Below are 17,005 nucleotides of genomic sequence, written 5' to 3'. Positions count from 1 at the left end.
AACAGAATTATGCTGCCACCTTGTGGTTAAAAGTGACACCTGCTGGCCGGTCATGGTGGTTCACGCCTGTAATCCCAGCACTTTGGGAGGCCGAGGCAGGTGGATCACCAAGTCAAGAGGTGGAGACCATCCTGGCCAACATGGTGAAACCCCGTCTCTACTAAAAATACAAAAATTAGCTGGGCATGGTGGCGCGCGCCTGAAGTCCCAGCTACTCAGGAGGCCGAGGCAGGAGAATTGCTTGAACCCAGGAAGCGAAGGTTGCAGTGAGCTGAGATAGCACCACTGCACTCCAGCCTAGCGACAGAGCGAGACTTTGTCTCAAAAAAAAAAAAAAAAAAAAGGACACCTGCTGTTAAATTTAAAGGCCAGTGGTTTTTCTAGTGATTAAATCACTTATGCATTAAAACAAATTAGTGGATATAAAAGGGTAAGAGAGTATGGACCTTTTAGTCCAAAATAATTAATGAGATAAATCTTTGAAAGAATCCCCAATGAAAGTCCTTTAACCATAAGCACTGACCTTTCTCAAGGCTAAACAACAAGTTCTCACAGTAGTTCGAAATTATACAAAATTGGGGTGGAGATTGAGGTAGTACCACTGAGTCTTTTACAGCAATACTATATGCTTGTATTATATTACAGTCTCCAGCCATGACTTTACATCAATGCAGCCAATAATGAAGCCTATTTTATAGCAAACAGAATTAATGTACAACTATTAATCTAAATCTGTGATCACATTAATATTACCATCTTCTGTGGCTCATCTTAGTACAGCATTCAGGTGCCAAAATTAAGTGTTAGTAGAGTTAACAATTAAAATAAATGGTCCTTCTTTGCCCTGTGTTGAATAACTCAAAGAATATTTACACATGTGGTCTGATAAGAGAAATTTTTTAAACTTTGAAGAAATAGGCTGGGTGTGGTGGCTCATGCCTGTAACTCCAGCACTTTGGGAGGCCGAGGTGGGAGGAGTTCAATACCGGCCTGGCAACATAGCAAGACCTCATCTCTACTGAAAATCAAAAAAGTTATCCTGGTATGGTGGCGCATGCCTGTGTTCCCAGCTACTCAAGAGGCAGCGGTGGGAGCATTGCTTGATTCCAGGAGGTCGAGGCTGCAGTAATCACAGCACTGCACTCCAGCCTAGGTGACAGAGCAAGACCCTGTCTCAAAAAAAAGAAGAAATAATATTCTATGTAATATTATATAGTTGAATGCAAGTTTATTGAGTCAAGTAAGAACAGGATTCGGAGAAATAGACTTAAATGTCTTCATGAAAAAAACATAGGGGATGCTCCTCCAAATGGCTCAGATATTTCTGCTGGAAGAGATCATCCCTGATAGTCAAGACATAACTTACTTGATATTGAATCAGCCTAAAATAAGATGGTCCTTGTGGACCATAACCATGTCACAGGACAGCACTGCCTTGGGTGGCACAGTGTAGAGTCTGGAAATGCCATGATTGTCACAGGACAGCACTGCCTTGGGTGGCACAGTGTAGAGTCTGGAAATGCCATGATTGCCACAGGGACCTTCCTGTTCAGGGTAGCTTTTACTATCCATACACTATGCCTCCTATCCGCTTACTGTCTCCCCCATCACTCATCCTAAGAAAAGCCTCGCTGGCCATCTGAAAGGGTACTGATTTCCCTCCACCTTCCCCTCACTCAAAAGAACAGAACGAGGACCCCCAAGCACTGCATTTAAGGGCAGTTAAACCGACACATGAGGGTCCAGCCTAGGGGCAGAGCACTGGGCCCTCTGCATGAGGCCTCTACCCTCAGCTGCTCCAAGAAGGTGAAACACAAAGTGATCCATGTACATCTGCACACATGGGGAGGGGCCATCCCCATGCACAGGGGAGGAGCCGGTCCACCGACACACATTTACCAGGAAGTCCATCTAGACCTGTGAGCAGGAGGGTGAGCGGGAGGCAGTCTTGGCTCAGTTGTAGATGAGCTGCCAAAATTTAAGGAGATAGCCAGAGAAGGCATGGGCAGCAGAATTTTGGAAACAAACATCCAGAAAAAAGAGAGAGAGACCAGGAGAGAAGGGTAGCAGTGCACAGATCTTCTCCAAAATGGGAACCGTCCACCAAGGACGTCTGCTGTAAGGATCAAAGATTATGTTAGTCTAGATCCCCTCAGCCACCACTCCTCCCACCTCCCCACCACCAACACTCACACACTCTGCCAGGCCCCTAAAGAAGAGTAGGTGGCAGTTGCTGGTGCAGCCACTCAACCCGCCAGCACTGCCCACGACCACGGGGACTGGTGTCCCACAGTCCTCCTGCAGAGCAGCACTTAGAGGGTCCAAGAGGAGAAAGCTGCCCCCGCAACTGGGGCCTTTGTCCCTGAGGACTGCAGTGCATCTGACTCAGAAACGTGCACCTGATGATGATCATTCTGTTCGCTGTGAGAATTTTGTCCACAGTAAGAACTTGGGAAAAAGTCTTTCAGTGGCTTTATAGACAATTCTAATTGAAGGGGAGTGAGCCAGGAGTTTCAACACATTTTCTCTTGGTTCCATCCTTTATTCCACAGCTTGTAATAATCCCCTTTCATCCTCTTTCTCCCTGCACTGTACTAATAGGCTGGGCATCCCACATCTCTCATCATATTCTACTGACCTCCTTCTATTAGGAGAGAGGAGAGAGAGAAGAGAAACATGTACAGAAAGGAGAGAGTTGTTGGCGATTCCACACTAGGTTTCATGAATGGATATCTGGCTTTTGAATAACTCACACAGCAAACTCTTTTTAAGAACATGGCATTTTATAAATGGGCATCAATTAATCTGTTGTATGAATGAATGAAGAACAAACAGATGCCTGCACAGGAGATAGATACCTTTTGTCTGTGATTCCTAAAATGTTGTATGCTTTGGACCTGTGTATAAAAATGTATTTTATATATTTTCATTGGTCATCATGATTTAGCTGCTTGCTTGAATGTATTTTAAAACCTATTGTGGTGCCAATTTGTAGTCTCAGTTTAAAGTGAATTATTCTTTGCATCAACAAATCACAGAAGTGGTGGTTATTTTCATTTGTTTATAGCTGTCTGGGGGCAAACATGCAAAGTAATTTGACTTGTTATTACTGTACGCCTGTCGTGTTTACAGGCACAATATACATACAATCAAACATAGGAAGAAAGAAGTTCTGTATTACGCAGGGAGTCCTGCATTTATATAATTATAGAGCCTTAGAAGACGTTCATGTTGATTCAAAGATTGAGGAAAACAACTTCATCTCTCAGAACTCTCTCTGCATACATTGTAGGTAAAAGTCTCTTTTTCTTCAGCTTTTTAATATTCTTTAACTTTGAATATTCAAATAAATGTGACAGTGTTTCACCTGGAGATGATTTGGTCCAATTGAACCACATTTGCCAAAATGGCTTTTATTCTCCCCGTTTTAGGAGGCACCCTGGTTTGCTGCGAAGCCACCCCTGCCGTCTTGATGTCTGTGCTCAGGGATGGCTGAAAACAGTCACAGCTTTATCACTGAAGCAAACGAAAATGTAAATACTTTTTCAAAGAAGATATTGCACTATTATCAAAAAACCAAAGTATTTGCTTATTCATGACACTTGAGACCAACTTAAAGGCTATTTCTTTTCATTTAGAATGTTCTAGAATTGAGCAAAGCAAATATTCTTTAAACAAGGCCTCTGTGATGACAGATCATTTGATATACGACTCCATTTTTAAAATATCTGTAGCTCTTAAAATATTTCACACAAGGAATCTGACCATTTCTGTTTCGAAGTATTGGGACAGGGTGCAGTGACCCTGTGAGTCCCAGCATCCCCACAGTGACAACGAGCTTTCCTTGATGGACACAGAGCACAGGCTTTGGAGTCTGAGACAGCTGGACTCATCCCTCCCTGCCACTTAGCTCCTGTGACACTCAGGGGAAGTCACCGCTCTGCTGGGATTTAGCTTCCATCTCTGTAAAAGGGGGATTAACAGTGCCTCCTACACAGGGTGGTGACAGCAATTAAATGAGGAAAGCATTTAGCAGAATCCCTGGTACATACCAGGTACGGAAATGTACTAGGTAGAGCTCTTATGCTTCTCTTGCAATTGTTTATAAATAGGTCTTATTTATTCCCAGGGATGTATTCTTAGCACATACTTCATTCATTCATTTGAAAATGCATTTATTGGGTACTCACAGCAGGGTAGTGTAAACATACTCAGAATACATAACATACTCAGAATAAATAAATGCAGGTGAATATAAAGACATTCTATTTCATTAGTTACATTGACCTTAAACCTTCTCAGACAACAGTGGGTGAGGGAGATGAGAGATGGCAGTGGGTAGGGAGATGAGAGATGGCAGTGGATTAGGGAGATTAGAGATGGCAGTGGGTTAGGGAGATGAGAGATGGCAGTGGGGGGCAGGGGCAGGTGATGAGTTGCATTTTTGCAAAAGCTATATAAGAATTGTTATATACTGTTCTGATTTTTTTTAATGAACCTAAATGAGCATGGATTTATTTGCTATGGAGTACTTGAAATCTTTATTTGAAGACATTAAGAATCCATCCAGGCCAGGTGCAGTGGCACACTGTAATCCCAGCACTTTGGGAGGCTGAGGCAGGAGGATTACTTGAGCCCAGGAGTCCAAGACCAGTGTAGGCAATATGGTGAGACTTCGTCTCTACAAAAAATAAAAATATTAGCCAGGAATGGTGGCGCATGCCTGTAGTCCCAGCAGTGGGGGGCAGGGGGGTGGTTCAGGAGAGGATTGCTTGAGCCCAGGGAGGTCAAGGCTGCAGTGATCCATGATTGCGCCCCTGTACTCTGGGCAACAGAGCAAGACCCTGGTTGAAGAAAAAAAAAAAAAAAAAAGAACAAGAAGAATCCACCCCCAAACATATCAAGATAAGACATCCATTGCTTCAAACACTGGGCCAGGCAGCTGTATGTTCCCGCTTTCGTTTTCAGGTAAGAAAAATGAAGACCTAGACCATGGAGGGGACTTGCCCAGAGTCCAATTTCAAGTCCAGTCCGGGGCTCTCCTCAGCATCCAGCACACGCTTCCCTGACTTTGCGCAAAGGTCTTGCTCCTGACAGGGACCGAATTACAGATTCTGCCACTTTACCCGAGAATTACTCTCCAAACGCACTGGTCTCTTTGCAGGACACAGCTCTCTGCCTCCATGTCACCACCTTTGAAGGACTGACTGATTCCCTCGGCTGGTGCCAGTGCCTGCTCCTGCCATGGGGCCCGCGGGGAGCCTGCTGGGCAGCGGACAGATGCAGATCACCCTGTGGGGAAGTCTGGCTGCTGTCGCCATTTTCTTCGTCATCACCTTCCTCATCTTCCTGTGCTCTAGTTGTGACAGGTGAGAACCAGAGTGTATATACCTGTGCCTTAAACTAATACATCCCCTGTACCCAGAAGAGTTTCTGTGGAAAGCCTGTTAGGAATGGAATCCCGCCACAGAGCCGTCCCAGAAACTTGTGCATTAGCTTTAACTCTCTTCTCTCTGCTGCAGAGCGTCTCGGGACATTCTTTATTCACTGAAGGAAAACCCATATTTGGTTTTGCTAGGGAGCAACTAGAAGAGCCCTTATATTTTAAACTTCCCAGAATGAAAGTCTTGCTGTTCTTTCGATCACACCCTTGTCAAAATGGATTTTGTCTTTTTTCATGTGCGGGCATTTTGAAATCTTGTGTGATGCGCATCTTTTTGCCACCACCCTGCGGAAGTCACAGAATGTTTGCTGCTACGTGATTTCGGAGGGATTGTTTATGATTAAAAATGTGTAGTGTAGACCTTCAGTTTCTCAAGAAACAGATTATTTTCCAAGGAGAGGAACATGCTGTATATGAAATAATCATCAGTGTCCTTTTTTTAGAGTTATACTTCTCTCTCTCCTCTGTCTCATATAAAATGTCAGTACCCCCAACAAGAGAAATCTTTGCTCAGAGAGAAGTTCTTTCTAACCAGAAGTGATGTTTCAGGACATTCTGGAACTGTTACAAAGCACATAACCTTCTGATAGGCTAGATGCCACCAGAGGCCCATGCAGACCAGCTGACCGTCAGCCAGCCCTGTCCAAACTCTCCCTCCACCATGGAAGCAACTCCAGGAGCGTCACTTAAAATTCTGAAATAGCTTCCTACCCTAAAATCTGTCAGGAGGAGAAAAGCCAAGACCCTCTGAACCCAGCTAGCCTCCTAATCCCTGCCCAGCCTGGACCCAGACCTCTGTGGCTGGGACAGAGTCTGAATGATTGGGAAGATGAACAAAGAGGCCGCAGGGCCGGGGCTTCCCGGGGCCTGGACGGCCTGCTTCTGTAGTTACTCATGTTCCCACTAGGTGTCACCCTTGTTTTATAGAGAACGTGGATGGGCGGCGTATTCTCTACAACTGATGGCTTTCTTTAGACTGTCCCGAGTAAAAACAAATTCTATTTTTACTTGACAGACTTTCCCATAGACTGGAAGTACATATGACTCACCCTGAGAGCATGTACCCTTCCTGGCGTGCCAAAAATCTGTATTTTCTCCATCCCACTGCAGTGTGTGACTTTGCAGAGACTCAGATAATTGTCTTCATTTTCTCAAAAAAAAAAAAAAAAAGGTATAACTTACTCTGCTAGTTTAGGTATAAACAATTTCTACGCAGGCCCAGGCCTCGGTCCTCTCCTTGTGAACTTGTATGTTTTTTCCCGGAAGAAGGGGTGCCAGGGGAGGTGGACAGTCCCTAGTTGAGGCTTGAACTCCTCTTCCCCAGCACCTGCAAACGGGCCATCAAATCACTGTCTGATTTTGTCTTTGTTGACAAAATAAACATGGTTCTTAAAACGAGAGATTTAAAAGCTGATAAGAATTGGGATAGGAAAGGGTAGTGTGCGCTTGATTTTAAGGGGGCACATTTGACATTACAACATTTCACTTTTCATTTCAGGGAAAAGAAGCCGCGACAGCATAGTGGGGACCATGAGAACCTGATGAACGTGGTGAGCCTGCGCGTGTCGTCTGCCTGTCTGTCCGTGCGTGCTCCAGAACATCAGCTACTTATCTAAGTGTGCTCCCATGTGCTCACAGCCTGAGTAGAACCCACGGGGAGAGCTAAGCCTAAGTTAAACGGTGGCTTCTGAAATGGATGCAGTAGTGCTGCTGCCGGAATGATCCTTAAATGGCTCCAACCTACTGCAGGGATGGGACTTTTTTGCCTCTATTAATTTGCTAGTGCTGTCATAACAAAGGACCGCAAACAGGGTGGCTTAAATAACAAGTTTGTTTCTCAGTTCTAGAGGCCAGAAATCCAAAAATCAAGGTGTTGGCAGGATTGGTTGCTTCTGAGGGAAAGTCTGTTCTAGGCCTCTCCTGGGGCTTCTGGTGGTTTGCAGCCAAACTTTGGGTGTGACTTGGTTTGTACAGGCATCACCCCAAATTCTGCCTTCATCTTCCTATGGTGACCTCTGTGTTTCACATCACCTCCCATCTATGTATGGCTGGCTGTGTCCAAGTTTCCCCATTTTATAAAGACACCAGACATATTGGACTAGTGCCCACCCTACTGTAGCACGACCTCATATTAACTAGCTTCGTCTGCAATGACCCTATTTCCAAATGAGACCATATTCTCAGGTGCTGGGGGTTAGGACTTGGACATGAATTTTGGAGAGACACAGTTCAACCCATAACAACAGGTCATTAAGCTGGAGGGAGCTTGGGACCCACAACACCCTAGGTATATAACCTAGCCTTGCTGGCGTTTTCCCAGCCCTCAGTATCTTACAGGGTCCTGATGATCCTGAGGCCCTCAGGGATCCACCCTGGCGAGGAACAGCCTGAGAGTGTCCAGGTCCTTCCTTGTCCTCTCTGACCCAGGCCCGTGCTTTTGAATGGCTGAGCAGTCCCAGCCGCTGGGGAGGGGGCCCATCGTCACATTAGCAAGGCAGAGTTCAGAATCTGCCCTGAGTCCTGTGGCAGTGCTAAGACAGAAGATGCTTCTTGTTCAGGACATCATTTCTCAAGGTCAAGCAAAAACTGGTTGGGAGGAGAGGGTGCAAACAAGGAAGCATGGATGAGCCAAGGTCTGGCGTAAAACCCGCAGCCAGCAGACGTTTGCAGAGATGACCAGGGGCATCTCCAGTCTAGGCTTCCTGACCTGCCAATTCTCAGGACTCCTCTGGCCCAAGCAGGCAGGAAGTTGTCAGGACTCCCCGTTCCTCCTGGGACCCCCAGGATTTTCCTTCCCTCCCCTCTGCATCCACATGCCCACCTCACCCTTCGCAGCTTTCCTGGGCCCTCATCACCACTCCTCCCTTTACTCTGTTTCTCGCCCTGTTCCCATCCCTGGTTGTCCACATTGTCGCCACTTCTCATCTGTTCCCAGCGCCCCTGCTCTGCCTGGTGATTGCTGCTGTGGTGGCCTCAGCAGGGAGGGTGGGAGGGATGGAGGGAACGCCCCACTGTCGCTTCTCCCCATGCAGACTCCAGGCCCCTGCCTTTCGTCACTCCACCATTCTCCTGGTGCCAGTTGGGTGGTGAGGTGGGGCTGGGGAAGGGCTCCCACCGCCATTCCTCACTTCCTTCTAGAGCAGGGGTTCTTCTGCAGTGTGGCCTGGACCTCCACCCACAGCAGCAGCAGCACCTGGGAGCTCCTTAGAAATGCGAATTTTCCTGGGGGTGAGGCCCAGTAAAAGGCTCGCAAGCACCCCAGGTGATCCAGTTGTATGCTCGAGTGTGAGAGCCACTGGCCTAGAGCTTGGGTTCCCGCTGTTCTACTCAAGGTCAGCAGCAGCCCTGGGCGAGATAGGAAGAGAGTGGCAGGTGGATAAAAGGAAAAAGCTGGCTTCCATCCCCTGCCTTCTTCCTCATCCACCATATAATTCATTATTGCCCCAACCCATAGCCTCATTTATATGGATGTGAATGTCTGTGAGAGAGCGCGAGCACACACAGGAACGCATGCTTACCCGGACACTGGCACCCATGTACACACGCTCGCCCACCCAGCTCTCCTTAAGAGCTTTTCAGCTCCTAGATCTTATACAACTTGCGGATTCTTCATCTCATAGAAGCAAAGATTAGGAATAGTAGTTAGAGTCTAGATTATGGTAACTTCAGCTGTGATCGATTATGCTGTTATGGGCCCACCTGGGAGTCTTCCTTCCCCACACCCATGCCTGCCCATTTATAACATCATTTCTGGGATATTAGCACCTGCATTGCAAGTTCCTGGCAACCTAACACAGTGACCCATCTCACTGGGGGCTCATCAGACGTGAATGAGCTGCATTGGATGGAAACAGCTGACTTCCAATACACTTTTGGATCATTGCACAGCATGAACTATCTGCTGTGTATTACTGGCTTCCAATCAAGAGTCAGAGAATTTGTGAGGCCAACTAGCAAAGGTTTGTGTGCTGTTTACATCACAACTTTCCTTGTAGAATCCTGGAGCATGAGATAGCCTCTTGGAACGTGCAGGCTGTGAGAAGAACAGGGAGCAAATCACATTTGCAGTGATTTGGGCTGCAACCTGAGACAAGTTGGGTATTTAAAGAAATACATGAACACCAACTTGCTTTCTGACTACTCTTAGCTATAGCTGAGCCAGGCATATTGTTCTAGGTAGCATCTACACATTCTATCCCTGCAGAAAACCAACTATTGATGCCATTCTTCCCTCCAAATGTCCTAAGTTTATTTGTAAGAATAAGAAAGATTTGCAGAGCTGGGCACAGTGGCTCACGCCTGTAATCCCAGCACTTTGGGAGGCTGGGGTGGGCATATCGCTTGAGGCCAGGAGTTCGAGACCAGCCTGAGCAACATAGCAAGATCCCATCTCTTATGGGAGCAGCCAGACATAGTGGTGCATACCTGTAGTCCCACCGATTCCAGAGGCTGAGGCAGGAGGATCTCTTGGGCCCAGGAGTTTGAGACTTCAGTGAGCTATAATCATGCTACTGCACTCCAGCCTGGGCAACAAGGTGAGACCTCATCTTAAAAAATAAATAAATAAATAAATAAAAAGTTTGCAGAGCTAATTTTCAGCATATTATTGTTTCTGTGAACCTAGCAGCCAGAGGCTTTGCTGGTTCTAAAATAGTTTCAGAAATCAATAGCCTTATCTATCTCTGACCAGATTTAAGTCTGTTCCCTTCACATGACAAAGGGTGATGCCTTTCCACGTTTCTCATAGCATGGCACACCTTTACCAATAATGATTTACAGCACCTGTGTTGTAAGGATGAGGCTGCTGTGGTCTTTTTCAACCAGTTCCCTTCCTGCCTTGAGCTAAGGGAATTGATATCTCACAACCTGCCTATAGCCCTGTGTAGGTCACCAGGCAGGAAGCTCTGCACATGGCTTTGGAAGATTCCCAGTGCCCCTAAGATTCTGGGACAACAGTGTCTAATAGAACTTTCTGCAGTGCTGGAAGTGTTCTGTATCTCCTATTGGATATGGTATCCACTGGCCACATGTGGCTATTGAGCGCTTGAAATGTGACTAGTCAACAAGGAACTCAATTTAGTGTATTTTATTTTACTTAATTTAAATCTAAAAACAGTAGCTCCCCTTAATCTGTAGTTTTGATTTCTGCAGTTTCAGTTACCCACAGTCAACCACAATCCAAAAATAGGTGAGAACCATACAAGATATTTTGAGAGAAAGGAAGAGCACATTCACATAACTTTCATTATATTATATTGTTTTATTGTCAGTGGTTATTGTTAAATTACTGTACTTATAAATTAAACATCATCATAGGTATAACATATATGGATAGGAAAAGACATAGTCTATATAGGGTTCAGTACTACTCATGGTTTTAGGCATCCACTGGGGGTCTTGAAATGTACCCTCTGTAGATAAGGGGGGACTATTATAGGAGATTCTGTTTTCTGTTTCTGCTGTTTTAATTTTTTGAAAAAGCCATGGATCTTCTCCTCTGCTCTGCAGTCCAGATTCTTAGCAATGTGATGCATTTGTTTTTGTTTTTGTTTTTGTTTTCAGCCTTCAGACAAGGAGATGTTCAGCCGTTCAGTTACTAGCCTGGCAACAGATGCTCCTGCCAGCAGTGAGCAGAATGGGGCACTCACCAATGGGGACAGTAAGTTCTGCAAAAACACCAGCTTTCCACACAGGCCTCATCACCTCTGGAAGTCCTAGGTTTCAAAATACATAGCTCAAAAAGTAGGAAATGTGTTATTGCTCAGTTTTAGTATTCCTAGCAGTTTTAGCAGAACCCCTCATTTGGATGAATACTGCTACTTATTAATCCACTTCTGTGTGCCAGGCATTGTTCTAAGACTGGTACATGTACTAATTCATTTGCTCTTTTAGTACATTTTAGTACATTTACATGTACTAATTCATTTACCCCACGAGATTACTGTTATTAATAATAACACTACTCTGTAAGATAGGTATTATTACTCCTCACAATTTAAAGGTGACAAAACTGGGCACATTGCTGCTGTAACAATATTACCACAAACCTCATGCCTTAAAATAACAATTTATTGACTTGCAATTCTGAGGTCAGGAGTCTGAAATGGGTCTCACTGGGCTAAAATCAGGGCATCCGTAGGCCTGTGGTCCTTCCTGAAGCCTCAAGGAGAATCCATTGGCCTCTCCCTCATTCTTCACATCCCTCTCTGACCCTCCCCCCTCCCTATTCACTTATAGGGACCCTTGTGATTACACTGGGCCCACCTGGATAATCCAGGCTTCCCTCTCATCCGGGAGTCATCTAATTAACAGCCTTAATTCCACCTGTAGCCCTAATCCCTCCATACCCTCCACAAAACATTACACATTCACAAGTTCCAGGAATTAGGAGACAGACATTTTTCAGGGTCGTTCTGCCTTCCACAGAGATGTTGCTAATTTGCCTGATATCATATAGTCAGCGGGCTAAGGATCTGTAGTTGGAACCAGGCAGTCTGATCCCTGGGCACGCACTCAGTCACTCTGCATAACCTCTGCATCATGCATTGTGTACTCTTGCTGATGGAAGGAGCAGCTAGGTTTCCTTCATGCTTTAGAGTTTACACCATGCTTTTACCTGAGGTAAGAGGGCGTCCTGTTACCCCTGTTTACTGATGAGGAAACTGTGGGGTAATCAGGACACCAGTGCCTGTTCTCTGTCTACCATGATGTAGACAACTAGAACCAGAGAGCAAAAGTTCACCCCCTCCGTGATGATCAGGGATTTAGAACACACAGGGGTGTTGGTAAGTTCAGAAGGATTGGGGGATCCGTTGTCATTTTTTCACATACCCCTTGGAAACACTATTTCTAATTCCCCCAGAGTGAGACACTAATGGAATAACTTGCTTACTTTGTGTCTGCATCCTAAGGGCAGGGCTTTCTGTTTCATTGAATGATGTGTCTGCAGCACCCTGCACCATCCCTGGTGCATGGCAGGCACTCACAACACGGTTGACAAAGGGACGACTGAACAGCTTCACACAATAGCATATCTGTGGCTGGCCAAGAATTTCACATTTGGTTTTTTTCTAATTTGAGGTAGGAATGTTGGTGGCGGGATGAGATGGAAGCAAGGTATGAGGTGCCAGTCCCTTTGTGCTAATGGCTGACGGGTGCATGTTTGCCCTGTAGTTTCTATTATGTCTGCCAAACAAAAGTCACCTGTGTGAAAGGGGGTGGCTACCAATAATTCCCTCCACACAGGCAGGGGTCAGTGGTGCTGGGGACTGTGGTCACTGCACATGCTGCCTTTCTGGTGTCCAGCCTCCCATAGTTCAGCGGCATCAAACTGGTCATCTTCTGGTCACATTGGACAATCTGCCTACAAGAGTCTCTCATTGGAGTGACATTAAGGAAAGTAATTGTGAACTACACTTAGAGCCAAGATAACTTATTAAATCTTGTATTGGGAAAGATATAATGAACAGCTTTATTTTAAACTGTGATTGAAGTAGGATACCAACTGATGGTCATAACAACTATAATTTGTGCCTGAGACTTAAATAAAAAGCACGCATCTTGATTTAACCTAACTTTATATTACCTGATTCTCGGTAATAATTATTGAAAGACTTGCCTTTCTCCGCTTTTAATGTGTGTGCTGCTTTAGTTCTTTCAGAGGACAGTACTCTGACCTGCATGCAGCATTACGAGGAAGTCCAGACATCGGCCTCGGATCTGCTGGATTCCCAGGACAGCACAGGGAAACCAAAATGTCATCAGAGTCGGGAGCTGCCCAGAATCCCTCCCGAGAGCGCAGTGGATACCATGCTCACGGCGAGAAGTGTGGACGGGGACCAGGGGCTGGGGATGGAAGGGCCCTATGAAGTGCTCAAGGACAGCTCCTCCCAAGAAAACATGGTGGAGGACTGCTTGTATGAAACTGTGAAAGAGATCAAGGAGGTGGCTGCAGCTGCACACCTGGAGAAAGGCCACAGTGGCAAGGCAAAATCTACTTCTGCCTCGAAAGAGCTCCCAGGGCCCCAGACTGAAGGCAAAGCTGAGTTTGCTGAATATGCCTCGGTGGACAGAAACAAAAAATGTCGTCAAAGTGTTAATGTAGAGAGTATCCTTGGAAATTCATGTGATCCAGAAGAGGAGGCCCCACCACCTGTCCCTGTTAAGCTTCTGGACGAGAATGAAAACCTTCAGGAGAAGGAAGGGGGAGAGGCGGAAGAGAGTGCCACAGACACGACCAGTGAAACTAACAAGGTGGGCACTGGCGTTTTTGTTTTGTCTTTGTGGGTTCCTGTTCTGGTTAGGAATCTAGCTGGCCCTGGAGTTGTTCTGGGAAATATCTGCAAACACTTTCCAGTTTGTTGAATGATGAGAGCTGTTTTCATGTAAGCTGTGTTTGGCTTTTTCCCCCTCCAAGTAATAAAATACCAAAAACTTGTATTTATCAAATATTTCTCTCAGCACCTTACTTGGATATTTTCACATTTTTTCCATCATGTCTAATTAGGGCCAAATCTTGTTTGCTTCATTTTGATGTCCACAAATTAAATACAGAAACTGGACACTTTGCCCACACATTTTACCCATTCTGCTTGTTGGCTGCCTCAGCAGCATGGTGACCTTTCCCCTTCCAGGATCCCCAAAAATCAGCATGCATAGCAACAGGTACCATGGGAACCAACTCACAGGTGCCCCTGGTTATATCTGATTGTACAAACCTTCATATAAATCAGTAGGAGATCTTATTTTGTGACCCTTTCTAAACTATAGCCTATACTTCCTAAATTTAGATATTCAACAAAGCTGTAAAATGCATTAGCAATCCACACCTTCTGCATGTGTCTGATAACTTGATATCTGAGCCACGATGAAGTTCACATCCCTGGTTGTTAAAATCTCTTTGGGATTTAACTAGGCCCATCTACTTCAGGCAACTAATAATTAATTTCTGTTTTCTACACAGAAAAAGAGGAAGGTTCTCTCTTCTATTCAGTTTTAGTAGGAAGGACAAGTAGCAGGTTAGCCAGTCACTAGTAGCCTTAAAAACCTTCCGTAGTTCATGGCCAGAGGTGAACCCTCACTCTGTTTGTATAAATTAGACCAAGAAAATCATTCTTTGTGCTGTTCTCTGAATGCATTTCAACTTTTCATATTATCCATGAAATCAGCTGTTGAGAGCACCAATAAAAGGGTTTATGAACATGTTCATAAAATATAAAAATGCAGTCCAATTTTTTGCCCTTCATAGAACCAAAGACCATAAACCTGATGTAAAGTTCATGCTGCCTAAACCAGACAAAGCTTTTTACTTACAAGCATTAGAAAGATAAGACGTTGAGTTGTCTAACCATTGCTAGTAAACAGTTCTCCAGATTTCACGTTAAAAACTGGAAATAATCATCTGGAAATAAAATTATCCTTCCACAATATAGTAAAAATGAGTAATCCATCATCTTTATATAAACAACCCTAATTTTAAGTGAGTTGAGGGTTTGAAGTATTTAATATTCATTCATTTATTTAACAAAAGATCTTAATAAGCACCTGCTGTGTGCCACACAGTCTTCTAGTCCTGGAAACAAAACATGTACATGAACAAAATCCCTGCCCTGTGGAACTTACATCTTAGTGGGAAGAGACAGACATAAAGTTTAAAGTTTATAAGAGAAAAAAATAGAACCGAATAAGGGGAACTGAGAAAACAGGTGGGGAGTACAGTTTTGGATAGAGTGGTCAGGGTCTGCCCAGCTATGAAGGTGACGTTTGAGTTAAAGGATCCAAGGGGGTGAGGTTTGTGCTTTTGTGGAAAGAGCACGTGAAGCAGAGGGGATGCCCAGTGTGAGGCCCCTGAAGCTAGAGCTTGCAACTGGCTTTTTAAGGGAAGAGGAGGGGACTGCTGTGGGTGGAGAGGGAAGAGCAAGGACAGCAGTGAGGAGAAAGAGAACCAGAGCTCGATCCTGGATGGCCTTGGCTTATAGTCTGAACACTAATAATGTCACTAGAGTCCCGAGCAGCAGAATGGCACAACCTAGCCTATGTTTTCAAAGGATCCCTCTGACTCCAGTTTTGAAATAAAGGGTAGAAGTGAGGAGAACAATTGGGTAGTGACTCTAATAAACCAGATTAGAAATGGCGGTGGCCTGGATCAGGGAAGAGGCAGCAGAGGTGATGAGAAAAGCTAAGCCAGAGCCAAGAGATTTGCGGATGGATCCTACGCTTAGTGAGATAAAGAAGAGGCAGTGATGAGTACGAGGCTGGGCCCAACATGTGGGAAAGATTGAATTGCCATTAACTGAAATGAAGAGGATACAGGCAGAGCAGGTTTTGGGGGGAGAACCAGCAGTCAGTGTTGGGTACGTTCAACTTGAGATACCGATTGGACTTCCAAGTAGAGCTTATCAGATGGTAGCTGGATTGATGAGCCGGGTAAAGAGGAAAGGCCAGGGCTGGATTTGCTGATGTGGGAGTCATCCACAGAATGTGGTTTTAAAAGTCATGAGATTGGGTGAGGTCACAGGATAGGTGAGTGTAAATAGAGCCTGGAAGAGCTCCAAGAATAGAGATCTGGAAAAGGAACCAGCAGAAGAGACCAAAGTAGGAAACAAAAACAGGAAAGTTGTGGAGTCCTGGAAGGCAGTGAAGAACGTGTCCAGGAAGGAAGGAGTGGCGGGCCGCTCTGCCAAATGCAGCGGGTAGGTCAGGGAAGGCGAGTCTCATTGGTGCCCTTGACAAGAGCAGTCTCTGTGGAATGGTAGAGGCAGAAACATGACTGAAATGGATTAGAAAGAGAATAGGAAGAGAAAAATTGTTCGGTTGACTTTTTAGACCACTCTTTAAAAGATTTTGCTATAAAGAAGTGAGACAGGCTGGGCGCAGTGACTCATGCCTGTAATCGTAACACTTTGGGAGGCCGAGGTGGGTGGATCACTTGAAACCAGGTGTTTGAAACCAGCCTGGGCAATGTAGCAGCACCCCGTCTCTACAAAAAATACAAAAATTAACTGGGCATGGTGGTATGCACCTGTAGTCCCAGCTACTTGGGAGGCTGAGGTGGGACAATGGCTTGAGCCTGGGAGGTCAAGGCTGCAGTGAGCCAAGATCACGCCACTGCATCCCAGCCTGAATGGCAGAGTGAGACGCTGTCAAAAAAAAAAAAAAAAAAAAAAAGGAAGTGAGATAATGAGTAGGTAGAATTTCGGAGTAGGACTAGGTTTGTTTTGGTTTTAGAATGAGAGAAACAACAGCATGTTTGCATGTGGCTGGGAATGATCCCACACTGGGAGAATTCCTGGCTCAGTATTCACACATAGGTATGTGGAGACAGGGTCTAGTGTGTAGGAAGGAGGGGATCACCTGAAGGAGGAACATGGAAAATCCATTTGACAGGGAGGAAAGAAAATAGATTAACGCAGAGGCTGAGGGTGGGGCTAAGAGTTGATACAAATTTCTTCTGATTCCTTCAGTTTTCTTAGCCAACTAGGAAGCAAGATCATCTGCTCAGAGTGAAGATAGGTGAGGAGGTGTTGGAAGTCTGGGGAGAAGAGGAGAAGATGCAAAGTAGAC

The 17,005-nt window shown here is 45.2% G+C and overlaps 1 protein-coding gene across 19 annotated transcripts in view, besides 1 other annotated feature; it reads left to right on the top strand.

Moving 5' to 3' along the window:
• Window positions 1-17,005, top strand: part of PAG1 (phosphoprotein membrane anchor with glycosphingolipid microdomains 1) — a 144,259-nt gene that overhangs the window by 113,597 nt on the left and 13,657 nt on the right. For 16 of the 19 annotated variants that reach the window (XR_007060746.1, XM_047421993.1, NM_018440.4 and 13 more), the window contains 4 exons: window positions 5,165-5,369; window positions 6,942-6,993; window positions 11,006-11,102; window positions 13,095-13,696. Coding sequence is in view for 18 of the 19 variants with exons in the window: in XM_047421993.1 (XP_047277949.1) it covers window positions 5,245-5,369; window positions 6,942-6,993; window positions 11,006-11,102; window positions 13,095-13,696 (876 nt within the window). In the remaining variant the exon portion in view is untranslated. Of the gene's footprint in view, window positions 1-3,235; window positions 3,289-3,431; window positions 3,534-5,164; window positions 5,370-6,941; window positions 6,994-9,205; window positions 9,403-11,005; window positions 11,103-13,094; window positions 13,697-17,005 lie in introns of those variants that run through there. The other 3 variants (XM_017013643.2, XM_017013642.3, XM_047421994.1) reach the window with 3 other exon arrangements.
• Window positions 16,066-16,165: an enhancer, noted in NCBI's record as "active region_27570". NCBI's record gives its function as "activates an Ori minimal core promoter by ATAC-STARR-seq in GM12878 lymphoblastoid cells {active_cell/tissue: GM12878}" and the evidence as "EXISTENCE:reporter gene assay evidence [ECO:0000049][PMID:35858748]".

The sequence above is a fragment of the Homo sapiens genome, chromosome 8, assembly GCF_000001405.40.
Source record: "Homo sapiens chromosome 8, GRCh38.p14 Primary Assembly".
In the NCBI taxonomy this organism is placed as follows: Eukaryota; Metazoa; Chordata; class Mammalia; order Primates; family Hominidae; genus Homo; species Homo sapiens.
The sequence above is the reverse complement of the archived record's forward strand: the minus strand, read 5'-3'. Positions and strand labels throughout refer to the sequence as shown.